General features: G+C 52.4%; 1 annotated feature.

Moving 5' to 3' along the window:
* Nucleotides 15809-16324: an enhancer, noted in NCBI's record as "H3K4me1 hESC enhancer chr2:96757989-96758504 (GRCh37/hg19 assembly coordinates)". NCBI's record gives its function as "activates a minimal SCP1, AML or CMV promoter by ChIP-STARR-seq in primed H9 embryonic stem cells {active_cell/tissue: H9 hESC(primed)}" and the evidence as "EXISTENCE:reporter gene assay evidence [ECO:0000049][PMID:30033119]".

Below are 22482 nucleotides of genomic sequence, written 5' to 3'. Positions count from 1 at the left end.
TGGTGTGGGGGATCCAGGTGTCCTGGTGTCGCAGCCCAGCCCAGCCCAGCCACAGCCTTGAACGGAGCATGAGAGACTACCTGGGCCCACTGCTTGGATTCCCCAGTCAATTGTTGGGGAGCCAAGGGTTAAACACAGCTTTCCTCCTCCCAGTGCGGGAAAGGCTGGTGGAGCAGCCACAGCAGCAGGCTCCACTGGTCCCTGTTTGTCAGGTGCAGCTTTGATGCAGCTGTTCAGCTGCAAATCCCCTCAGGCTGCAGCCCCTCTGCCCCTGCTGGCCTGGCAGCTGGATTTGGGTGGGCACCTAGCTGGCAGCTCTTTGAGGGATTCCTCAGCTGTCTCGGAGTCTAGAGGCTCAGGACGTGATCCTAGGAGGCCCACCAAATTGCTGGGTGGCCCTGGGCAAGGCTGCTCACCTCTCTGGGTTTCAGATGCCTTCTTGTCAAGTGAGGGGGTCGGACAGGAGCATGGTTCTAATGATGTTTTGGGTGCTGCCCCAGGAGAGATGAGGGGAAACTGAAGCCTCCTGCCCCCCGCTCCCCCCACCTTTCTACTTGTTGATTGTTCAGGAAGCAGCTCTCCTCCCTGCTCACCAGGCTTCCTCCTCTGCCCTCCAGCCTGCACCCACATAGCCTCCATCCCCCAACCCCACCTGGGCTCAAGTCACACCCCTCACCTGTGTCCTGGTGAAATCTAGGTGGCTGAGCCCCAGAAGGGTCATCTTGAAAGACATTCCCCAGGGCAGGTGGAAGCGGGTGGGAGAGGGGAGTGGCCACCTGCCTGGGCGGGACATGGTGTCTATAGTAAGGCTGGGAGGGGCACTGGAGTTGGGGGGCAACAGAGGAGGAAGTGGGTGAGATACTCTGGGAGGGGCAAGTGGGGAGGTGGGCTCTGGGAAAGCGGGCTCCCATGGGGTCATGGCTCAGGATGATGCAGGAGAAGATGCAGCTCCTAACAACAGACCTGCTTTCACCCCAGCAGGGCTGGGTCTGTGCCCAGGGACCTCCTCTGAGAGGACAGCCTGAGAGGGCAGGGACTTGGCTACCTCGTCTGTACCTGTGCTCCTCGCCCTCTGGCAGAGCCTGGCCCGGAGCAGCTGCCCAGTAAATATTTGTTGGAGAAGTGAGTTTTCCCAGCAAACTGGGGCAGCCTTGGTTATCTAAGGCTGGGGACCCTGGGCTCTGGGAGTGTGTCTCTGATTTGGGGTTTTCATTTTCTGTTTTGTTTTGTTTTCTCCATAGTTTCCTAGAGAAATTCTGTTGGAAAATTCCATCCTGGCCTTGGCTGAGCTAGAGGCAGGAGAACTGTCCCCACAGCACCCGGGATGCACCAGGGCATCTGCAGAGGTGGTGGCAGGGACCAGACCCAGAGAGCAGAGGCTCAGACAGGGCCCGACAGAGAGGGGATGGGCAGAGAGAGGGCATGGTTGGGGCCATTCCTGGAGCAGCATGGAAAGAGCACTGGCTTTGGAGTCACAGCTGGCTCTACTGCTTACCAGATATATGGTCTCAGACAGACCGCTAAACCTCTCTGAGCCTTGACTTGCTCACATTTAAAATGTGCCACGTGGACCGGGCGCGGTGGCTCACGCCTGTAATCCCAGCACTTTGGGAGGCCAAGGTGGGTGGATCACGAGGTCAGGAGATCGAGACCATCCTGGCTAACATGGTGAAACCCCGTCTCTACTACAAAAAATACAAAAAATTAGCTGGGCGTGGTGGCGGGTGCCTGTAGTCCCAGCTACTGGGGAGGCTGAGGCAGGAGAATGGCATGAACCTGGGAGGCGGAGCTTGCAGTGAGCTGATATTGCGCCACTGCACCTCCAGCCTGGGCGGCAGAGTGAGACTCCATCTCAAAAAAAAAAAGAAAGAAAGAAGAAAAAGGGCCAGGTGTGGTGGCTCATGCCTGAAATCTCAGCGCTTTGGGAGGCCGAGGCAGGAGGATCACTTGAGCCCAGGAGTTGGAAACTAGCCTGGGCAACATAGTGAAATCCCACCTCTACAAAAATTTTTTAAAATTAGCCAGGTGTGGTGGCGTGCGCCTGGGGTCCCAGCCATTTGGGGGGCTGAGGTGGGAGGATCGCTTGAGCCCAGGAGTTCGAAGCTGTAATGAGTTGTGCTTGCACCACTGCACTCCAGCCTGGCAATGGAGCAAGACCTTGTATCAAAAAGAAAAAAAAGTGAGGGAGAAAATAATTAAAATAAATAAATAAATGTGATAACATCAACTACTTTAAGATTGAGGAGCGTGTTGAGAGGTAGAGATGACATGTAAGGTGTTCCTATAGAGTGTGAGGGTACAGACGGGCACCTGCAAATGGCAGACCCATTACATTTAATCCTCTGGACCCTCAGGTTCTCTTCAAAGTGGGTGGGCAGAACTCCTTGCCCCAGTTGTCCTCTGACTCCTGCTCAGAGGCCTGATGGAAGGAGGGTGGACTCTGCCCTGTGTCCTGCCTGCTCTCACCCCATGCTTTCATGGGCTCCAGGACTCTCCCATGGAGAGCTTCAGCAGGCCCTCTCCAGTGTGGAGCTAGTAGGGGAAGGTTCTCAGGCAGCTGTGTCAAATGTGCCACATGTGAGCCTATGCCCTTCTTGCTGTGCCCATTCCAGACATCAGTAATGGGCCCCAGAGCTCTCTCCATGACTAGAGACGAAGTTGCAGGGAGTCCCAGGTGGAAAACAATTGCTGGTGTGAAAGATGAAACTGTTTGTCCCTCAGATCTGTGGAGAACCCCAGCCTTGTCCTTGATGGGTGCAGGGGAAAGGGCTGCCCACCCTGGTGTGAGGGGTGTCATCCAGGGCAGTAAAGAGGGCCATCTCCGGAGACCTCTAGGATTCCTGTGCTGCTGCTGCAGTAGGGGCATCCAGGGGTCAAATGTCAGCACTCAGGAGGACCCTGATATTTGAAGAAGCCTGCATCAGAAACACAGCCAGTGAGCAGAGAGAAGGGTAGGTGTTGGTGGGGTGAGAGCTTCTTGAGCCAGCATACCTTGACTTAGGCTGAAGATGGGCAGGAAGGGTGGTGAAGGGAGGCAGGGGCACTTGGAGGTCCTATTCTCTCAGAAGCATGGAAAGCAAGGCAAGGATGGTTCAAGCACCGCCTGAGCCCACACAGTTGAATGGCCTCTGGTGCTGCCTGTGAGTCTGATTGCCTGGTTCCATGGTGGGCATCATTGCTCCCCATGCTCCAGGAGTGGAACTTGTGCCCCAATTCCCTCCACCAGCACAGTGCTCCACAGCAATGGGGCCAACCCTGCAGTTCCCATCCTGGCAACACAGGGGGCCCTCATCCATGTGTGTCAAGATATTTCTGTCTCATTCCCTGTGCATCCCAGGATCATGTGTGACAATGCCCAGCAAATAGTGAAAATGGAAGGGCTGGCCTGGCTTGTCAGTGGCCCCTGACACCAGTCTCTCAGGGGTGCAAAAATATCCCAGGAAAAGTGGTGAGATGGAGAAAACTATATTTATGAGATCTCCTCCCAGAGAGGGAGGAATAATTGAGGCCTCCAGAGACAAGCTTGAACAACAACAGATGCTGTTTGTTTCTTAAGTGGCCCTTGTGGAGGGCGGCAGGGCTGAGTGCCCTTGCAGCACAGTGTTGGTGTTGCTGAGTAGGATGGGCAAGTTTGGGGCTGGAAGGGAATTACTGGAGACCTTGGAGGTAGGCACGTGCCCTTTGCCACTGCACCCATCTCAGCTGCAGAAACAGGATGGACCGCTGGTCCGGGGTACACAATTTAGAGTGCCCTGTGTCAAATCTACCTTGACACTAGTCTCCAGTGCACTAAGCTCCATGCCAGGCTCAAAGGCCTCAGAGAGCCAACACCACCTTGAACCCTGGCTGTGAGATGGGGTCAAGCCACTGGTGCCAGGGGCACAGAGCACTGAGGGATGGCGTGAGTGACCCTTGGGGAAGGCAAGGATCAGCGGGTACCCGAGTGGGTGGGCCTTGGTGGGGAGCAGGGAGGAGGGTCTGTGGGAGGGTGGCACCCTACCGAGGGCTTGAGGCCAGCTTCACAGGCAGGAGAAGGGGAACAGGGGGCATGCTATCCAGATTGTGGCTTGGGTGTGGGCTTGCTCATGTTCTGAGGTGACTTCTGGCCCCAGGCTGCCCCCTCAGGGGCAAGGGACAGGGCAGGGAGGCCCCAGGCCAGCGAGGCCCCAGGCCAGCAGCCAGGCTCCAGGAGGCAGCTGACTAAAATAAGCTAGGATATCAGAGTCTCCTGTCTCCAGGAAGTGGAGAAGAGTGATGAGTGTCAGGAGCTGCCCTCGAGTGCAGAGGAGCAGGGGAAGTTGGGGAAAGGAGGGAGAGGAAGGAGGAGGAGGGGGAAGAGGGAGGGGATGGGGGAGGAGGGGGAAAGAGGGGGAGAGGGGGGGGAGGAGGGGGAGAGGAGGAAGGGAAGGAAAAGGAGGAGGAGGAGGGGGTAGGAGGGGGAGAGGAGGAAGGGAAGGAAAAAGAGGAAGAGGAGGAGGAGGAGGAAGGGGGGAGAGGAAGAAGAAGGGGAGCCAGAGATGGAGGGGGAAGAGGAGGAGGGGGACAAGACAGGGAGGAGGAAAAGGGGAGGAGACAGCAGTCACAGCTGAAGGCGTCCAACAAACTTGTTTTCTTTTCTCTGGCCTGAAGTCTCAGGCTGTTACCCCCTGGATCTGGTAAGGGCACGGGTCTTCTGGAGCCCTGCTGCACACCCAGCACCCTTGTGTCCTGAGAATGTCTTAGAAACCCAGTCAGTGGAGGGCGGGAGACAGGACCCCGTTGAGTGCAGGCAAAAGGAACCAGGTTTCCAAGAGCCTGCTTGGAGGAAGAGAACAACGTGGTGCTTTGAATTTGATTTCTAGCCCTTCTGTTCTGCAAATGAAGAAATCTGGCCCAGGTGGTTTAGGGATGTATCCCAGGTCCTGTGTCTGATGATGCTTGGAGCCACTCTAGAGCCCAGGTCTGTACACACACAGGGCACAGCCGTCTGCGTGGGGCATCAGCCCACACTACTATGAGGAGCAGCAGCAGGAGGGAAGGGTGGCCTGCAGTTGTGAGAACAGGCCTCTGGGTGTGGATGGGAGTGCCGGGGGCAGGCGGGCCCTAGCTGTCCCGCAGCCATCGGGTTCACATGACACCCATCTCAGCCTACCTGCCAGGCTTCCAGATATCACTGAGGGGTAAATGTGTGGGGGCCCCAAGCCCTCTGCCTTTCATGGCCAGTGGGGAGCCCCCTTCCCATCCTGGCTCCAGACCTTACCTGGGTGGCTCGAACACAGCCTCTCATGTCCATACTCTGGCCTAGGTGGAGCCGCAGAAGATGCAGGCTGCTCTCACTCTGCCCAGGCCCCTTGCCTCCCCTGGGCACACCAGTTCCCCAGGCCTGGGCTGGGGCCACCTGTGACCAGTGCACCTCCTTTCCCTCCACCTCCCTCTGTTGGGGTGAACCCTGACTGCCTGAGATTGCGGTTCACCCGCTGTCCTGGAGCCTCAGTGCAGGGCCACGGAGGGCAGCTCTCGCTCCGCTGAGTGCCTGTTGCAGTTTACCTGCGCCACTCTGATCACAGCTGGCTGCGAGCTCTTTGGGGATGTTCAGCCCCTGTCAACCTAGGGCATCCACAGCTGCAGGGACAGACCTGCATCCAGGGGCATGCAAGGGAGTCCAACGCAGTGGGGCAGCTTGCACGAAGGGCTGTCCTGCAGGACCTTAGCTCCCTGCACTCCCTCTCCTCAATTCCTCCTCTTCTCTTTGTTTAAATCAAATCTTCTGTTGAAGAATTCTCTAGAAGGGCTCAAAGTCATCAGCTTGGCTGGGCGCGGTGGCTCACACCTGTAATCCCAGCACTTAGGGAGGCGGAGACAGGCGGATCACCTGAAGTCAGGAGTTCGAGACCAGCCTGGCCAACACAGTGAGTCCCCATCTCTACTAAAAATACAAAAAAATTAGCTGGACATGGTGGCGGGCACCTATAATCCCAGCTACTAGGGAGGCTGAGGTATGAGAATCGCTTGAACCCCGGAGGCAGAGGTTGCAGTGAGCCGAGATTGCGCCATTGCACTCCAGCCTGGGCAACAAGAGTGAAACTCCATCTCAAAAAACAAAAAAACTCACAAAAATTAGCGGGCCATGGTGGCATGTGCCTGTAGTCCCAGCTACTCAGGAGGCTGAGCCAGGAGAATCGCTTGAACCTGGGAGGCAGAGGTTGCAGTGAGCCAAGATTGTGCCACTGCACTCCAGCCTGGGTGACAGAGCGAAGACTCTGACTCAAAAAAAAAAAAAATTCCTCAGCTCTGCCTCACCGACTACAGTTCCATCACATTAGTAATCTCTCTCTCTCTCTCTCTCTCTCTCACACACACACACACACACACACACACACACACACACACACACACACATCCCTTCCTGCTCAACAGCCCCACTCCTCAGGCGCAGTCAGCTTGGAGCCCCTGGAAGCCCCCAGCCTCTGGGCTCTCTTCTCTCCCAGCTGGGTCGCCCCTCACCCCTGGCCTGCCTTTCCAGGTCCAGGGTGTTATTTCAGGGAGGTGCTGGGGTCTGGGTCCTGTCCTTGAGGAAGCTCCCTTGCGATGACCCTGGAGGCTGTTAAGAGACCCCTCTGTCATCCCAGTGATGCCAGCCAGGCAGAGATCTGGGCTTGGGGCAGGAGCCCCGAGGCATGTGAAAGGCCAGGGCTTCATCCTCCCAGAGCCTGGGATCCACCGACAAGCAGGCCCTCTGCAGAGGCTGCGCCCCCCCCACCAGCTCTTGGCTGCCCCAGCTCTTGGCTCCCTCTCCCTACCCTCCGAGCTCCCTAGGGCTGGGATGCGTCCCTCCCGTGGACCAGGCAGTCCTGGGGTGGATGTCCAGGAGGTTCTGTGGGTGTGAGGCCAATGGCCCAGAGGACAGAGGAGAAAGGGCAGCTGTGGATGCCGCAGGCTTCATGGAGCTCCCCTAGGCTGGAGGGGGCTGGATGGGAGCCTTGGCCTTCAGGGTCCCCCAGACTTGAGAGATTCCACCAAATAGAGCCCAGGCCCCACAGTTACCCTGTAGTATTTCCCAAATACTGGGAGTGTCCAGTGGGTTGCAATAGAAATAATCATCTCAAGGGCCACAGTGGTGTAGTGTTGTAGAGAGCCAGGTGCAGAAAACGCTTTCTGTCTCTCCTTTTCTTCTCATCCACAAGTGCTGTCTCTAACTTTTTCCAGAAAGTGCTAGGGGATGAGGTTTGTAAGAATAGCCTGTCTCTAGATCTGCCCAGGAGCAGTTCTTGGCCCTGGGAATGATCTGGGGTGGGACCGTGTAGAGCAGTTTAGTTGCTGTGTGACCTCAGAGAAGTTACTCAACTTCTCTGACTCTTATATTATCATCTGTAAAATGAGGTTCCTGCTGCATCTCACTCTCAGGGTCCTGAGGAGAGTTAGGTTGAGATGCTTGTCACGGAGGCAGTGTCCATGCACAGGGCCTGGGTTTGCTGTCAGCCCTAGGCAGGATGGGTGAGGAGGTGGGACCTGGGTGCTTGGCTGTGGCTCAGAAGGTCTGTCCTGGGGTGGCCTGGCCTCAGGGACTAGGAAGGTCCTGGCTAGGCTCAGGTGGAGGGAAGGGTCTGGAATGAGGCAGGGGCGAATGGGGCCTGGGGCTGCCTCTGAGACCCTGTTTTTGGACTGCAGCACCCACCAGAGCTGCCACCTCTTCTCTTGGTTATTCACCAGGAATTACCCTAAATGCTACATCTGTTGTCATAACAACATCTTACCCATCCTTAGATAAAAGCCCTGTTTGCAGGGGGGTCAGGCTGTCTCCAGCTCCCCAAGCTCCATCACTGTCCCTCACAGCCCTCCTTGGGGTTCCACAGCTGGTCTTCCTCCCTCCCATTTTAGTTTTTTAGAGAGATCACTCCTCTGTTTCTAAATTTCTTCTCTGTCTCCCTTTGTGTTCCTGGGTCTCTCTCCGCTCCCTTTCCCTCACTCTCTCCTCTCTCCTTCCTTCTTCCTGGACCCTGAGCCTCCTCTCTTGGTTTCCCTCGGTCCCTTCTCGCTCTCCCTCCCTCCTTCTGCCCGCATCCCTGCATGCAGTGGGGTTGTGGGAAGGTGGCTGGTGGGGACAGGCGGGGCCTGCTGCCTTGGATGGGTCTGCTCTGCAGGAGCCTCAGGAAGCCCCTCGGGCTCTCCAGCCTGGGGTGAGGTGAGCCCAGGGTGGGCATGTTGCTGCACGCCCAAGAGCTTCCAGCCTCTGTGGTGTGCGTGGCCAGGAAGGCCTAACTGCTCTTGCAGAAGTGTGGCCAAGGGAGCTGCCCTTACCCCAACCCCAACCCCGCCCCAGCTTCAGCTCAACAGTCTCTGGGGTTCCAGCTCTCCTGCTGTCCTGACTGGGGCTTCACACACTTGTCCAGTGCCGACTTCTGCTCAGCACCATCCTAAGGGCACCCACACAGAGGCCACACAATGGTTCCAGGAGGGGTCATCTTTCCATTTTACAGCTCAGGAAATTAGAGACCAGAAGGGTCAAGCAACTGGCTCAAGGCCACACAGCTGGTCAGTAGAGGAAGTGGGACATGAAATTCCACTCCATAGCCAATGCTCTTAACCAGGATGCTGGATGGACGACTTCTTCCTCTCGGTCCCCTTCCTCTTTCTCCTTCTCACCCTCCCCCTCCTCTTTGTCCTTCTTCCCCTCCCCCTCCCCTTTCTCCTCCTCCCCCTCCCCTTCCTCTTCCCCTTCCTCCTACTCCTCTCCCCTCCTCCCATTCCTCCTCCTCCCCTCCCCTTCTCTTCCTTCTGCCTCTCCCCCTCCTCATTTCTCTCCCCTCCCCCTTCATCTCCCCCTCCCCTTCCTCCACCTCCTCCTTCTCCTCCTCCTCATTCTTTCTTACTGTGTGTCGGGCCCTGCATTTAGGAACACTGGGAACTCATCTAGCTTCGTAGCAACCCTACAAGGTTAGAGCCACAGTTATCTATTTTATCAATGAGAGAATCAGGGCACAGAGAGGTTAAGTAACTTTCTCAAGTCTCACTGTAGTTAGGGCTGTGTTAGGATTTGAACCCAGGTCTATCTGCCTCCAGAGCCTGGGCTCTTAGCCCTGAGTGCTATGCAGAGGGGATGGCAGCAGAGAGAGGACTGCATCTGTGGGACAAGGATGTGGGCTTTACACACACCCAAGTCCCTCCGTCTCCTTGATTCCTGTCAAGCCCCCTGTGGTCCCAGCCAGAGGCATTTTTGAGAATCAGAGGAGGAAGCCACGTGGCACAGTGTCCTCTTTGCTGAATTCTATGTAAGGGGGAAGCGAGTTCCAGGTCACCGGGAGAGGCCCACAGATCCTGTAACAACATGAGCCTCTGGGGTAGCTGCAGCACCCTTGGAACCCGGAGGCCCTTGTCACTGGACCTGACACCCAGGGTCTTGGGAGGCAGGTAGACTCACGTGTGGCTGGGATGCCTGGACTGAGATGCAGGGCTGTGGGCCTCTCTCCCAGCCTGGGCTGGCCTGGAGAATCCACAGCCCTTCCTGCCCCACAGCTCCTGTCCCTGGAGAGTAGCCTGGCCTTGGAACACACTGTCCCGGAGCGCGGCTGTCGGGATGATGGAGAGGTGGGTTATTTTTAACAGCCAGGATTCATCGACAGAGCCTCTTCCAGACCAGGGTAAAGGATTTCAGGGAGCTGGGGACCACAAACTCCAGGTCCTCTCACTCTCTCCCCACCCTCCCTTCTCCATTCCTCTTGCTCCAGAGAGCCCTGAAGGCTTGGTGGCAGCCTCTGAGGTTGATGGGATCTTTAGGCAGAAGGTGGCTGCCACCTAGCTATCAACCCAGAAAGAGGCCTGGCAATGGTGGGAGCCTCAGAAGTGAGCCCCATCCCTCATCTAGAAGCTGCAGGTCTTGGGGCTAATCAGGGCTCACTGCCACACTGGGACTACAGAGAGCCCAGGTCCAGGCCTGGCCTGCTCTGCCCAGCAGCCGCCAGTCCTGGACCCCCTCTCCTGCAGGGCCTTTCTGTTTTCTCTGAGGGAAGTAGGTTATTCTCCAAGTTCCCCAGACTCTTCTCAATTTGAGCCAGAACCCACTGGATCCTGGGTGGAGTGTGGCCCCATCAGGGCCCTAATTTCTTTGGACACCTCAGAGCTTGCTACTGCTGGTCTTATGACCCTGTTCCTTCCTCGTTCTGCCAAGGAGGGGTGGAAATGCCTTGTCCATCCCCATCTGGTCTCAGAATGACCCTCTCCTGCCCTCCTGTGCCCTACCAGAAAGATGCTTTTAGGACTTTCAAAAGATACACTGTCACCTTCGTCAGAGCATCTTTATGAGAACAGCCTGTTGCTGGGAGTGAGCCCTGGGCTGGGAGGCAGGGAACCTGGCTTCTGCCCCGCTCTGCTGCCCTGCACTGTGGGGTGAGTCCCTCCTCCTCTCTGGGCCTGGGCCTTGCCATCTAGGCCAGGGTGGTGGGACAAAAAACGTTCCCAAAGACCTCTTCTTGCTTGGGGTCCACACTGGGTCTGCTCCTGGGGTTCAGGTCTGACTAGCCAGGTTTGGGGGCTAGGGGATGCTTGCTGATGAATGTGCCAGTTTTTCAGGGCCCCCGTTTCTGACTGAGACCTCTACAAACGCCTCTCTACCTTGCACTCAGAGGGACCTTTACAAATGATTACCCAGATCAGACAATGAATGGCAGCCTTTAGGGTATAGCTCAGAGACAGTTTACAGAGGCATGCAGCACCCCGAACAAGTGGCAGGGTGCTTTCTTCACCCCGGCAAGTCCCCCATGCCCCTTCTCAGTCGATACCACCCAGAAGGAGCACCATTCTGATTTCTACCACATGGATTAATTTTGCCTGTTCTAGAACTTTCATATAAATGTAATCAAAACAGTCTCTTGTGTCTTGCTCCTTTTGCTTAATATAATGTCTAGGCGAGTCATCCAGGTTGTTTCAGCGTGAGTTCATTCCTTTTCATTTCTGAGTGGTATGCCAGTGTGTGGATGTATCACTGTTGATCCATTCCCTGTTGATGAACATTGGGTTGTTTCCAGTTTGGGGCAACTATAAGTAAAGCCAATAGGAACGTTCATACATATGTCTTTTGGTGCACAGAAGCTTTCATTTCTTTTGGGTAAATATCTAGAAGTGGAGTTACTAGGTCATACGATAAGCAAATATTTAGCTTTCGTGGATATTCAATCTTCCAAAGTGAGCCTACCAATGAACACTTCCACCGCCAGTGTTTGAGAGTTCCGGTTGCTCCACATCCTCGCCAGCATTTGGTGTTATTGGTCTTCTTGCTTTTGGTCATTCTGGTGAGTGTGTAGTATCTCTTTGTGGGTATTTTTTTTTTTTTTGGAAAAGAAGGGAGTGTTTTCTTCCCAGTTTTCTTAGTTGTGGTCGAATACACATAACAACATTTACCATCTTAACCATCCTTAAGTGCGCAGTTCAGTGGTATTAAATGCACTCACAACTTGGGCAGTCATCAACCCCATCCTTCCCTAGAAATCTTTTCATCATGTAAAACTGCATCTCCCCACTTCCCCTCCCCCAAGCCCCTGGCAGCCACCATTCTACTCCCCGTCTCTATGATTGTGACTACTGTAGGTACCTTATGTCAGTGGAATCATGCAGTATTTGTCTTTTAATGACTGGCTTCTTTCACTTAGCATAATGCTTCGAGTTTCATCCATGTTCTAGCCTATGTCAGAATTTTCTTCCTTTTTAAGGCCGAATCATCTTCCATTGTATGTACAAACCACATTTGGTTCATCTGTTCATCTGTACATGGACACTTGAGTTGCTTCTACCTTTTGGCTCTTGTGAATCCTGCTTCTGTGAACATGGGTGTACAAATATCTCTTCAAGATCTTGCTTTCAGCTGGGTGCGGTGGCTCACGCCTGTAATCCCAGCACTTTGGGAGGCTGAGGCAGGTGGATCACCTGAGGTCAGGAGTTCGAGACCAGCCTGGCCAACATGGTTAAACCCCGTCTATACTAAAAATACAAAAATTAGCCGGGCATAGTGGCAGGTGCCTGTAATCCCAGCTACTTGGGAGGCTGAGGCAGGAGAATCGCTTGAACCCAGGAGACAGAGGTTGCAGCAGTGAGCCGAGATCATGCCACTGCACTCCAGCCTGGGCAACAGAATGAGACGCTGTCTCAAAAAAAAAAAAAAAAAAAAAAAAAAGGGAACTGCAATACTGTTTTTCCCAGTGGCTGCAGCATTTCACATTTCCACCAACAGAACAAAAGGGTTTCAATTTCTCCACATCCTCACCAATACTTGTTATTTTCCTTTCTTTCTGTTTTTTTTTTTTTTTTTTTTTTTTTTAACAATTGCCATCCTATCCTAATGGGTTTTAATTTGCATTTTCCTGGTGGCTAGTTATGTTGAGCATATTTTCATGTGCTTATTGGCTATTTGGATATCCTCTTTGATGAAGTGTCTGTTCAAGCCTTTAACCTATTAAAAAATTGTTTTATTTGGTCTTTTTCTTACTGGCTTATAGAAATTCTTTATGTATTCTGAAAATTGGTAGTTTCTCAGAATTTTTTTTTTTTTTTGAGACAGGTTCTCACTCTCTTGCCCAGGCTGGAGTGCAGTGGTGCGATCATGGCTCACTGCAGCCTCTGCCTCCCGAGCTCAAGGGATCCTCCCACTTCAGCCTCCCAAGTAGCTGGGACTATGGGTGTGCATCACGACGCCTGGCTAATTTTTGTATTTTTTGTAGAGATGGGGTTTCACCATGTCTCCCAGGCTGGTCTTGAACTCTGGGCTCAAGCAATCTGCCCCCCTTGGCCTCCTGAAGTAGAAAATGTATTTTTAAATTGAGGTAAAATTACCAATACGTGAAATTAACCATTAAAAATGTACAATTCAATGGCATTTAGTACATCCACAATGTTGTACAACCATCACCCGTATCTCAGTCCAGAATATTTTCATCACCGTAAAAGAAAACCTCATTCCCATTAAGCATTACTTCTCATTTCTGCCTTGCAACAGCTCCTGGCAACCGTTAATCTATTTTCTGTCTCTATGGATTTGCCTAGTCTGCATATTTCATAGGTATGAAATGGCATGATTTGTGGCCTTTTGTGTCTGGCTTTTTTCACTTAGCATATTTTCTCCAGGTTCATCCACGTTGCAGCAGGTATCAGTACTTCATTCCTTTTTGCAATGAAATGTGGATAGACCACATTTTGTTTATCTGTTCAGCAGGTGAGGGACATTTGGCTTGCATCCAACTATAGTGACTAGGACTGTTATGAACATTAGTGTCCTTGTTTTTAATTCTCTTGGGTGTGTACCTAGGAGCGGAAATGCTGGGTCCTACGATAATTCTTTTTTTTTTTCTTTTTGTGACAGAGTTTTGCTCTGTTGCCCAGGCTGGAGTGCAAGTGGTACGATCTCAGATCACTGCAACCTCCGGCCCCCGGATTCAAGTGACTCTCCTGTCTCAGCCTCTTGAGTGGCTGGGATTACAGGCACCTGCCACCACACCCAGCTAATTTTTATATTTTTAATAGAGATGGGGTTTCACCATGTTGGCCAGGCTGGTCTCGAACTCCTGACATCAGGTGATCCACCCGCCTTGGCCTCCCAAAGTGTTGGGATTACAGGCGTGAGCCACTTTGCCTGGCCCCCTACGATAATTCTATGTTGAGCTTTTTGAGGAACTGCCAGTGTTTTCCAAAGCGGCTGTACCGTTTTACATTCTTAACAGCAATGTGTGAGGGTTCCAATTTCTCCACCTCTGTAATATCACTTTTTATTGTTTGCTTTTAAAAATTCTGATCATTCTAGCGAGTGTGAAGTAGTATCTCATTGTGATTTTAATTTGCATTTCCCTAACAAACAGTGATGTTAAACATCTTTTCATGTGCTGTTTGGCCATTCATATATTGTCTTTGGAGAAATGCCTATTCAGGTCCTTTGCCCAGTTTTTCAGTTGGGTTCTTTGTCTTTTTGTTATTGAGTTGAAAGAGTTCTTTATGTATTCTGGATACTAGATCCTTATCAGGTGTGTAAGTATTTGATTTTCAAATACTTTCTCCCATTCTGTAGGTTGTCTTTTGACTTTCTTGATGGTATTCTTTGAGGAACAAGTTTTTAGTTATGATGAATTCTAATTACCTATTTTTTCTTTTGTTGCTTACACTTTTGGTGTCATAGCTGAGAATTCATCACCAAATCCAAGGTCATGAATATTTACCCCTATATTTTCTTCCAAGGGTTTTATAGTTTAAGCACTTACTAAATGTAAGATCTCTGATCCATTTTGAGTTAATTCTTATAGATGGTGTGAAGTTGGGCTTCATTTTCATTATTTAGCATGTGGATATCCAGTTTTCCCAGTACCATTTATCAAAAAGACTATTCTTTTCTCATTGAATGTTCGGGCTGCTCTTGTTGAAAATCAATGGACTATAGACATATTGGGTTTATTTCTGGACTCTCAATTCTACTCCACTAGTCTATATGTCTATTTGCTGTTCCCTTTGCCTGGAATGTTCTCCCTTCAGTCTCATGTGGCTCCTTTCTATCATTGAGATCTTCTGGAAATGTCTCCTTAGAGAGGCCTCCCATTGTCACTCTCTGCCACATGACCTTGTTTTATTTTCCCCATAATTCTAATCGTGTTTGAATTCATATACCCTCTGAGAACAGAGTCTTCTGTCCTAGTTACTTGGTGTAAGCCTCCTCCTGTACGTAACAGGCACTTAAATATCATCAAATGAACAGTCAGTGTTCTCGAGCCTGGAACGCCTTTACCCTCCTTCTGCATGGTACCATCCAAAGGCCCCCTCCTCCCTGTGGCCTTTCCATTCATTCATGGTCAGCAGCACTGTTGGCCCCTTGCCTCTGTCGTGGTGAAGATTGGGCAAGTTGTCCTCCTGCATTTGAGTGGAAGCTCCCAGAGGGCAGGGCCCCCACTCTGTATCCCCACCTCTAGCCCACACCCTGTAGCTCATACAGAATGGGCCCTTGCCATGGACAGCCTCTGTTCCTGACCCTGGTCTGAATATGGAGTGAAGGGTGAAGGGGTGAAAGCAAATTTGAGTGAGGGGCTTAATCAAAGCGTGGTGGCCACTTAAGCCAAGAGACAAAGTTAAAGATTATTTCATAGCTTTTAGCCTCAGCATAGGGGAATGTCATTCTCAGGTCAGAAATGTGGAAGTTAAGTGGAGGATCTGGAGTGAAGACCAAGACAAGGAGTTCGGTTTTCCAGAAGCTGACTTAAAGGCTATGGCACAGTGGACAGAAGAAATGCCCCAAGGTGGCTGAGACTCTGGCAAGTCACAGTGGGAGCTCCCGGTTGCTGAGTGCCGGGTGTGGTGTAAACTGCCCAGCATGGGATCCTCAGAACCACCCTGAAAGTTTGGCTACACTAGCCCATTTACACAAGAGGAAACTGAATCCTTGAAAAGGGAAGCCACTTGCCCAGGGGCACACAGCCCATAAATGAGAGGCTGGACATGCAGACCCAGGCCTCTGACTCCAAAGGGTCCCTCTCCTCCCCTGTGCTGCCCCTAGAAAGGCCAGTGCTACAGGAGTTATTCCTGCCAGGGGCCTGCCCCAGACCTCTGCCCACAGGATGCCACCCTGTCAGCGAGAGAGGTGGGGCAAGGCCCAAATATGGAGGAGATGAAGCAACAGCTTTGGGCACATGCAGAAGCTGTTTGTGAAGGAATTAGAATATCAACAATTTTCACCTAGGCACTGGCTTGAAGCTGATACTTCATTGGATTACATGGCTGAGTGAGTAAAGATCCTTAACTAGGATCCTAAATACCATGAGCCTCCTTAGCCTTTCCCTCCTCTCCTGTCTTCTAAGCCTGTCCCAGCTGCCACCTTCCCCCGGCCGCCACAGAGCGCCTCTAGGGCTGACCTGCAGGTGAGCCTCCCAGCTGCCAGCTTCCCTCTTGCCCTTTGGGGATCCTTTCTGGCTTCTTCTGCCAGTAAAGGCGGGCATTGGTTTCCCACCATTCCTGGGGCACCAGGAAGGAAGAGTGTGTATGTGGGGCATGGTTATAATATCCTCAGCTCCAGGGACCCTGCAGTGGGAGGGAAGGGTGGAGGTCTGAAGATAGAGAGGAGGGCCAGGGCAGGAGGGAAGTGGCAGCAATTCCTGCGGGACACCCCTGTGAGTTCATGGACTGACTCTACCCCCTGTTGCTGTGCGACCTCAGGCAAGCTCCCTCCCCTTTCTGGGGGAGCCGGCCATCCTCTGTAGATTGGGGAGAGCACAGGGCTCACAAGGTTCATGAGACGAGGCAGGGTAGTGCAAGCCAAGCCTGAAAACAGGCATGTCCTGGGGGCCAGCTCTGGGGGGTGGGGTGGTTGTTGCAGGAGGCCTGTGATGGGAGGGAGGACGAGGACAGGGAGGAGCCAGCAGCTGCCATCAGGGTTGGGCACTGGGGAAATCCCACAGGGGCCACACCCATCTCCTTTTGCAAAGCCTGGAAGGGCCTGGAGGGGACAGAAGAGGGAGAGGTGTTGTTACCAGGCAGCATTGAGTGGGAATGGGTGCGAGGAGGTTTACAGGAGCCAGCGTGTAACTGCACACCAGGTGTTCCCATACGTCAGGAAACGCCTCTCCGCTCCAGCTAAGGAAGCCAAGATCCAGGGCCCGATTCCCTGCCTGCCTCACCAAGCTTCCCCTGGGGAGGGCACCACCCCCACCACCTGGCTCCTTTCACACTGCCCCGTGCGACCGACCCATGGCTCCAGGAGAGGGGGTTTAGAGTCAGGGACCAGCTCCTGGCAGTGGTTCTCAGAAGCTGCCAGCCTCCCAGCCTCTCAAATGGCCCTGCCGAGGTCTGCCCTCGGTCTCCTGTTCAAGCCCCTACCCTAACGAGGCTGCTGGGAGACGGTTTCCCTGCAGGGCACATGCAGTCTGGATGACTGGCTCCTTGCCGGGCCTGAGTGATGTCCCCGGCGCCTGCAATGAACCAAATGTGGTTATCCGTGCCTCTGCCCCTGCTGGCTCCCAGAAGCTGGCAATAGAATTATAGCCTCACGTCTGCCCTCCGCTGCCTTCCCCTCGGCCTTCCCCTCAGCTGCATTCTGGGGCGGAGCTGGGTGTCCTGCCTATTGTCCCTGTTGGGAAGGCATGGCTGAGGCTTGGGTGGCCAGGATTTCATGATGGGCTGGGAAGGAGGAGGATGAGCGCTGGAGCAGGGGTCCAGAGACTCAGCCTGGGGTCCCCAAGGGCTCTGGGCTGCTCACAAGAACTGCAGGCCTGGTCACCTCGCCCCTGCCTCCCCGACGCTCTCTCCTCGGCAGTCTTATCTCTCTGCAACCCAGGCTTGCCCAGGGCACTTCCCTCCTGAAAGCCTGTTGGTGGCTCCTGGCTGCCCACAGGACAAAGTCCAGGCGCCACCCCAGTTACTTGCCATTCCCCAGGGTGCCCAGTTCCTCCCTGGTGCATGAAGGGCAGTAGCCTCTGGCTAAGGACACAGGCCCAGGATCAGCTGCTCAGGGATGTACCATCCAGAGTCCCCTGACATCCTGGGTGTCCCCCTCTTCCTGGTGTCCCCCTCTTCCTGACCACCCTGAGACCACATTTCCCAGCCCCCTTGATCTAGGCATGAGTTGGGCCAATGGAAAGGGGGTGGAAGAGAGACGTACGCCACATCCACTTGGCCCATGAAAGTCTCCCAAGCAGGATCCTTTACTCAGTTTCCCTTTTGTTGCAAGCATGCAGGCCACAAGCTAAAGATGGTAGCACTAGAGAATAAATAGAGCCTGGGTCCCTGAATCACCACTTGGATTCACCCTAGACTGTGACATGAGCAAGAAATCAGCCTGTGCTCAGCTGCAGAGATCTGGGATTCTTTGTTCTAGCAGTTCGCTTACTCTGACTCACAAAAACCTTAGGAGTAACGGTGTGCAAGTGGTGTAACATGAGACCACTTTTCTCGTCTGTGAAATGAGATAATAATGCCTACGTTGAAAAATGTTGGGAAAGATGGACCATCAGGCACCTGGCCCTTAGTAAGCCCTCAGTACTTAAAGCTATTTTGCAATTTCTAGGCCTTTGCATGTCTCTTCCCTATCCTGGCCTTTTCTTCCCAGCCGGCTGCATTCTGGGCCTCCTTCTAGGCTCACTGCTCTAGGAGGCCTTTCTGAGCCCCCAGCTTCCACTCTCCTCCTGGGCCTGGGACTTGCAGCCTGGGGACACACCAGCTGGAGCACTTCCCTTGCGGCACCATTCTCAGTTATCTATCTGTCTGCCTCTCCCTGGACTGGGTCCCACATGCAGCCAGTGCAAAGCCCGGCACAAAACAGGGCCCATAAGTGGCTCTTTCATTTGTTAGCGAGGCTGAGCCTGCCTGTCTCAGGCCGGGGCTGGTGCTGTGAGGCGGACTGAGGCCCTGAATGTGAAACCGCGTTGGAAAATGGAAAAGTCTCCCAGACTCTCAGGAGCAGGTTCCCTGGCCCAGAGCACACTCGAGCCCCTGCCCTGCCACAGCCCCTCTCTCAGGAGCCCCTTCTGCCGCAGTTCCCTTTTCTGCCTGTTTTTCTGTCTCGGAGACTCAGTGTCAGCAGTTGTCAAGACAAATGGCACCAAGCAGGACTCAGGTGAGGCCTGGAATCCGCACCAGGGCCCCTCGCAGTTCTCCACCTGCCACGCTGCAGCCCCTGCTAGCTGCTGACCAGATGCAGCTGAGGACAGCCGAATGAGAACAGAGGCCGCCAGAGAGCAAGGGACTCTCATGGCCAGTGCTGGACACAAGCCAGCCTGGGGGTGGTGCCGACAGCAGCCTTGCTTGGCTCTCCCTCCTGCTCACCCTCCACCCTCCACCCTCCGTCTTTGCTTCCTCCCAGGTGCAGGGGGTCAGGAGTGTGTGGGCTCCCTCATTTGTCCCTGTGCAGCGTGGGGTGGGAGCGAGACACCTAAAGGCTTGTAGGGAGCCACCCACAGGAGGCAGGGGGCGGAGGAAGGAAGGGAGGTGGCACCTGGCCCAGGTGCGGAAAGCTTGTACCCCTGGACCTATGGTTCCGACTCAGCTGTGACCTGGGCCTGTGAAAGGACTGGAGGGGAGCTGGGCATGGGGCCAAGCCTGGCGTGGCTGGGAAAGAGGACCCAGCCTGCCGCTCGAGGCCACTGCCAGTGCCCAGGTAAGTCTGGGAAGAGGAGCCCCGGCTGGACCATGAGGCCCCATTTCCCCCTCACGTTTCTTCCTCACTCCCTCGAACATGCTCTGGATCACAGGTAGTGCCGGTGTAGAGGTGCTGTTGTGGAGGGACAAGGATGGAGAATGATCACAAACAATGGTCTTTGTCTAAGAGACGTTTGCACTTTGGGATGGGGCAGTGACTCCCTCCAGAGGGAGCCCCGTTCCTCCCGGGGCGTTCTAATCCATGTCAGCCCCATTCCAGCTGGGTGAGGACGCTCTATGGGGTGTACTGGCAGAACTCCCCGCTGGAGCTCACTGGGGTCCATGGCAGCTGCCCCAGGGTAGCTCTGCCCATCGGGCCATCTCAGAGGCCGGCTGAGGAATGGCTTCCTTGCTTCAAGTCTGCCTGACCCTCGGGCTGCTGCAGCCTACAGGCAGCCTGTACACATGGATCACACATTAGGGATCTACTTCCAGTCTGCAGTGCAGGCACACAGACACCATGAAGGCTACAGTGATGGGCTTCTGAGTAGAAGAGGACATGCTCACAGTCCCACCACTGCCACCGTCCTGCCAGCTCCAGGCTGTCTCGGCCACTGGGTTTCGTGTCCTGCCTTCAGCAAACCTCCCAGCAGCAGCACTTCCCGCCTCACCAGTGTCTGCAGGCCCTGCTTAGAATGGCACAGCTGCACCTCCTCATTTATGTAACTCTTCTCTTGTTATCGGAAACTCAGGTGGCTTCTGGTTTTTCACCATTACAGAAAAAGCTGCGCTGAATGTTTTTTGAGCATAGAGCTTTGTCCTTCATGAGGACGGCTCCTCAGTCTAGATTTCCAGAACTGGGGCTGCCAGCTCAAAGAGCCAAAAGGCCCTCAGAAATGATCAGAGATGAGACTGAGGTCAGAGAGGGGCGGAGACCTGGCTAAGGTAACCCAGCAGGTCTGTGGTACTGCTGGGCTCTGGCCCCAGGGCTGGTGATCCTTCCTCTCCTTGAAGCTTTGCGCCCTGGAAAAGAGGGCAGAGCTGCAAATGCCTCTCCAAAGAGGATTTTTAAATAAACATCTTTATTCAGATATAATCCACTTACCATGTAATCATCCATTTAAAGTACATACTTCAATGGCTTTTAGTATATCCGTGGAGTGTGCAGTCATCACCACAATCAATATGAACCTATTTCCACCACTTAAACAAGCAAACCCCATACTCTTTAGCCACCACCTCCCCCTGCCTCCACTGCACCCCCATCTCAGCCTTGGACAACCACGAATCTTCATACTGCCTCTGCAGGGCGATTTACTCTGGGCGTTCCTTAAAAATGGAATGAGACCATACGCGGGCTTTTGTGGCTGCCTCCTTTCACTGAGCAGAATGTTTTCCGGGCCCGTCATGCCAGAGTGCGCATCAGTACTTCATTCCGTTTTATTGCCGAATGATATTCCGTGGTATGGCTAGACATTTATTTTATTTGTCCATTCATCAGCTGATGGACATTTGGGTTGTTTCTACTTTGGGGCTTTTATGGATGATGCTGCTATAAACATCTGTATACCAGTTTCGGTGGGGACATGTGTTTTCATTTCTTTTGGGTATGGACCTAGAAACGGAAGTGCTGGCTCCTGTGAGAACTCTGTGTTTAACATTCTGAGGAGCTGCCAGACTGTTTTTCAAAGTGGCTACGCCATTTTATATTTCCACCAGTGGCATGTGAGGGTTCTAATTTCTCCACATCTTCATCAACACTTGTTATTGTCTTTTATTTTTTATTATTAGAGATGGGGTCTCACTATGTTGCCCAGGCTGGACTTGAACTCCTGGGCTCAAGTGATCCGCTCGCCTTGGCCTCCCAAGTAGCTTGGATTACAGGCATGCACCATAGTGCCTGGCTTGTCTGTCTTTTTTATTATAGCTATTCTAGTGGATGTGAATTTGTACCTCATTGTGGTTTTGATTTGCATTTCCCTGATGACTAATTAAGTCTAACATCTTTTTATGTGCTTACTGGCCATTTGTATATCTTCTTTGGAGAAATGTCTTTTCAGATACTTTGCCCATTTTTAAATTGGACCATTTGTCTTTTCATTATTGAGTTGGAAGAGTTCTTTATCTATTCTAGTCCCTTATCAGATCTGTCCCTTATCTGATAAGTCCCAGATCTTACATATCTGTCCCTTATCAGATATACGATTTGCAAATATTTTCTCGCATACAGTGGGTTGTCATTTCACTTCCTTTGAAGCACAAAAGTTTTAATTTTGAAGTCCAATTCATCTAATTTTTTGGTTGTTTGTGCTTTTAATGTCATAGTTAAGAAACCATTGCCTAATCTAATATCATGAAGATTTACATTTATGCTTTCTTGTAAGAGTTTTATAGTTTTAGCTCTTACATTTAAATCTGTGATTCATTTTGAGTTTTATATATGGTGTGAGGCAGGGAACCAAATTCATTCTTTTGCATGTGGCTATCCAGTGGCCCCATACCATTTCTTGAAAAGACTAGTCTTCCCTTCATTGAACTGTCTTGGCACCTTTGCTGAAAATCAATTTGACCATAAATACAAGAGTTGATTCCTGGATTCTCAATTCTGTTCCATTGATTGGAATGTGTATCCTTATGTCAGTGCCACAGTCTTAATCAATGTAGGTTAGCAGTAGTAAATTTTAAAATTGGAAATCCTCCAACTTTGATTTTCTTCAATATTGTTTTGTCTACTCTGGGTTCCTTAGATTTCTGTATGAATTTTGTGATCAGCTTGTCATTTTTTTGGGAGAAGCTGGATGAATTTTGATAGGGATTACATTAAGTTTGTAGATCAATTTGGGGAGTATTTTCATCTTCATAATATTAAGTCTTCTAATTGATTAACACAGGGTATCTTTTCATTTATTTAGATCTTCTTGAATTTATTTCAACAGTGTTTTGTAGTTGTCAGGGTTTAAGTTTTTCACTTTTCTTATGACATTTATTCCTAAATATTTTATTATCTGATGCTGTTTGTAAATAAAATTGTTTTCTAAATTTCGTTTTTGGGCATTGCAAGAGCATAGCTCACCAAGGAGATTCCAGCCCCTTTTCGTCTGCTGGCGGATGGTCTGTCTGCTCCACTCTGAGCCACCCTGGGTTCCTGCAGCATCATCACCCTCTGTGGCCAGGATTTGGTTACAGGCCTATGTGTCCACCAGACTGTGGCTCCTCAAGGGCCCCATCCCAGCATAGAGCCCAGTGCATGGGGCAGGCTGAGCTGGGAAATGAAGAGTGAATGAGTCAGTGAATAAATGAATGAACAGACTGACCACAGGATCTGAGCTCGCACTGGGTTCTGCGCATCCTGGGGCAGCGGCTCTGGAGCTCAGGCCTGTGGAGCCCTGCAGCCTGTCCCAGGCCTGATATCGAACC

The sequence above is a fragment of the Homo sapiens genome, chromosome 2 (genome assembly GCF_000001405.40).
Source record: "Homo sapiens chromosome 2, GRCh38.p14 Primary Assembly".
NCBI lineage: Eukaryota > Metazoa > Chordata > Mammalia > Primates > Hominidae > Homo > Homo sapiens.
This window is presented reverse-complemented; position numbering and strand designations above follow the sequence as displayed.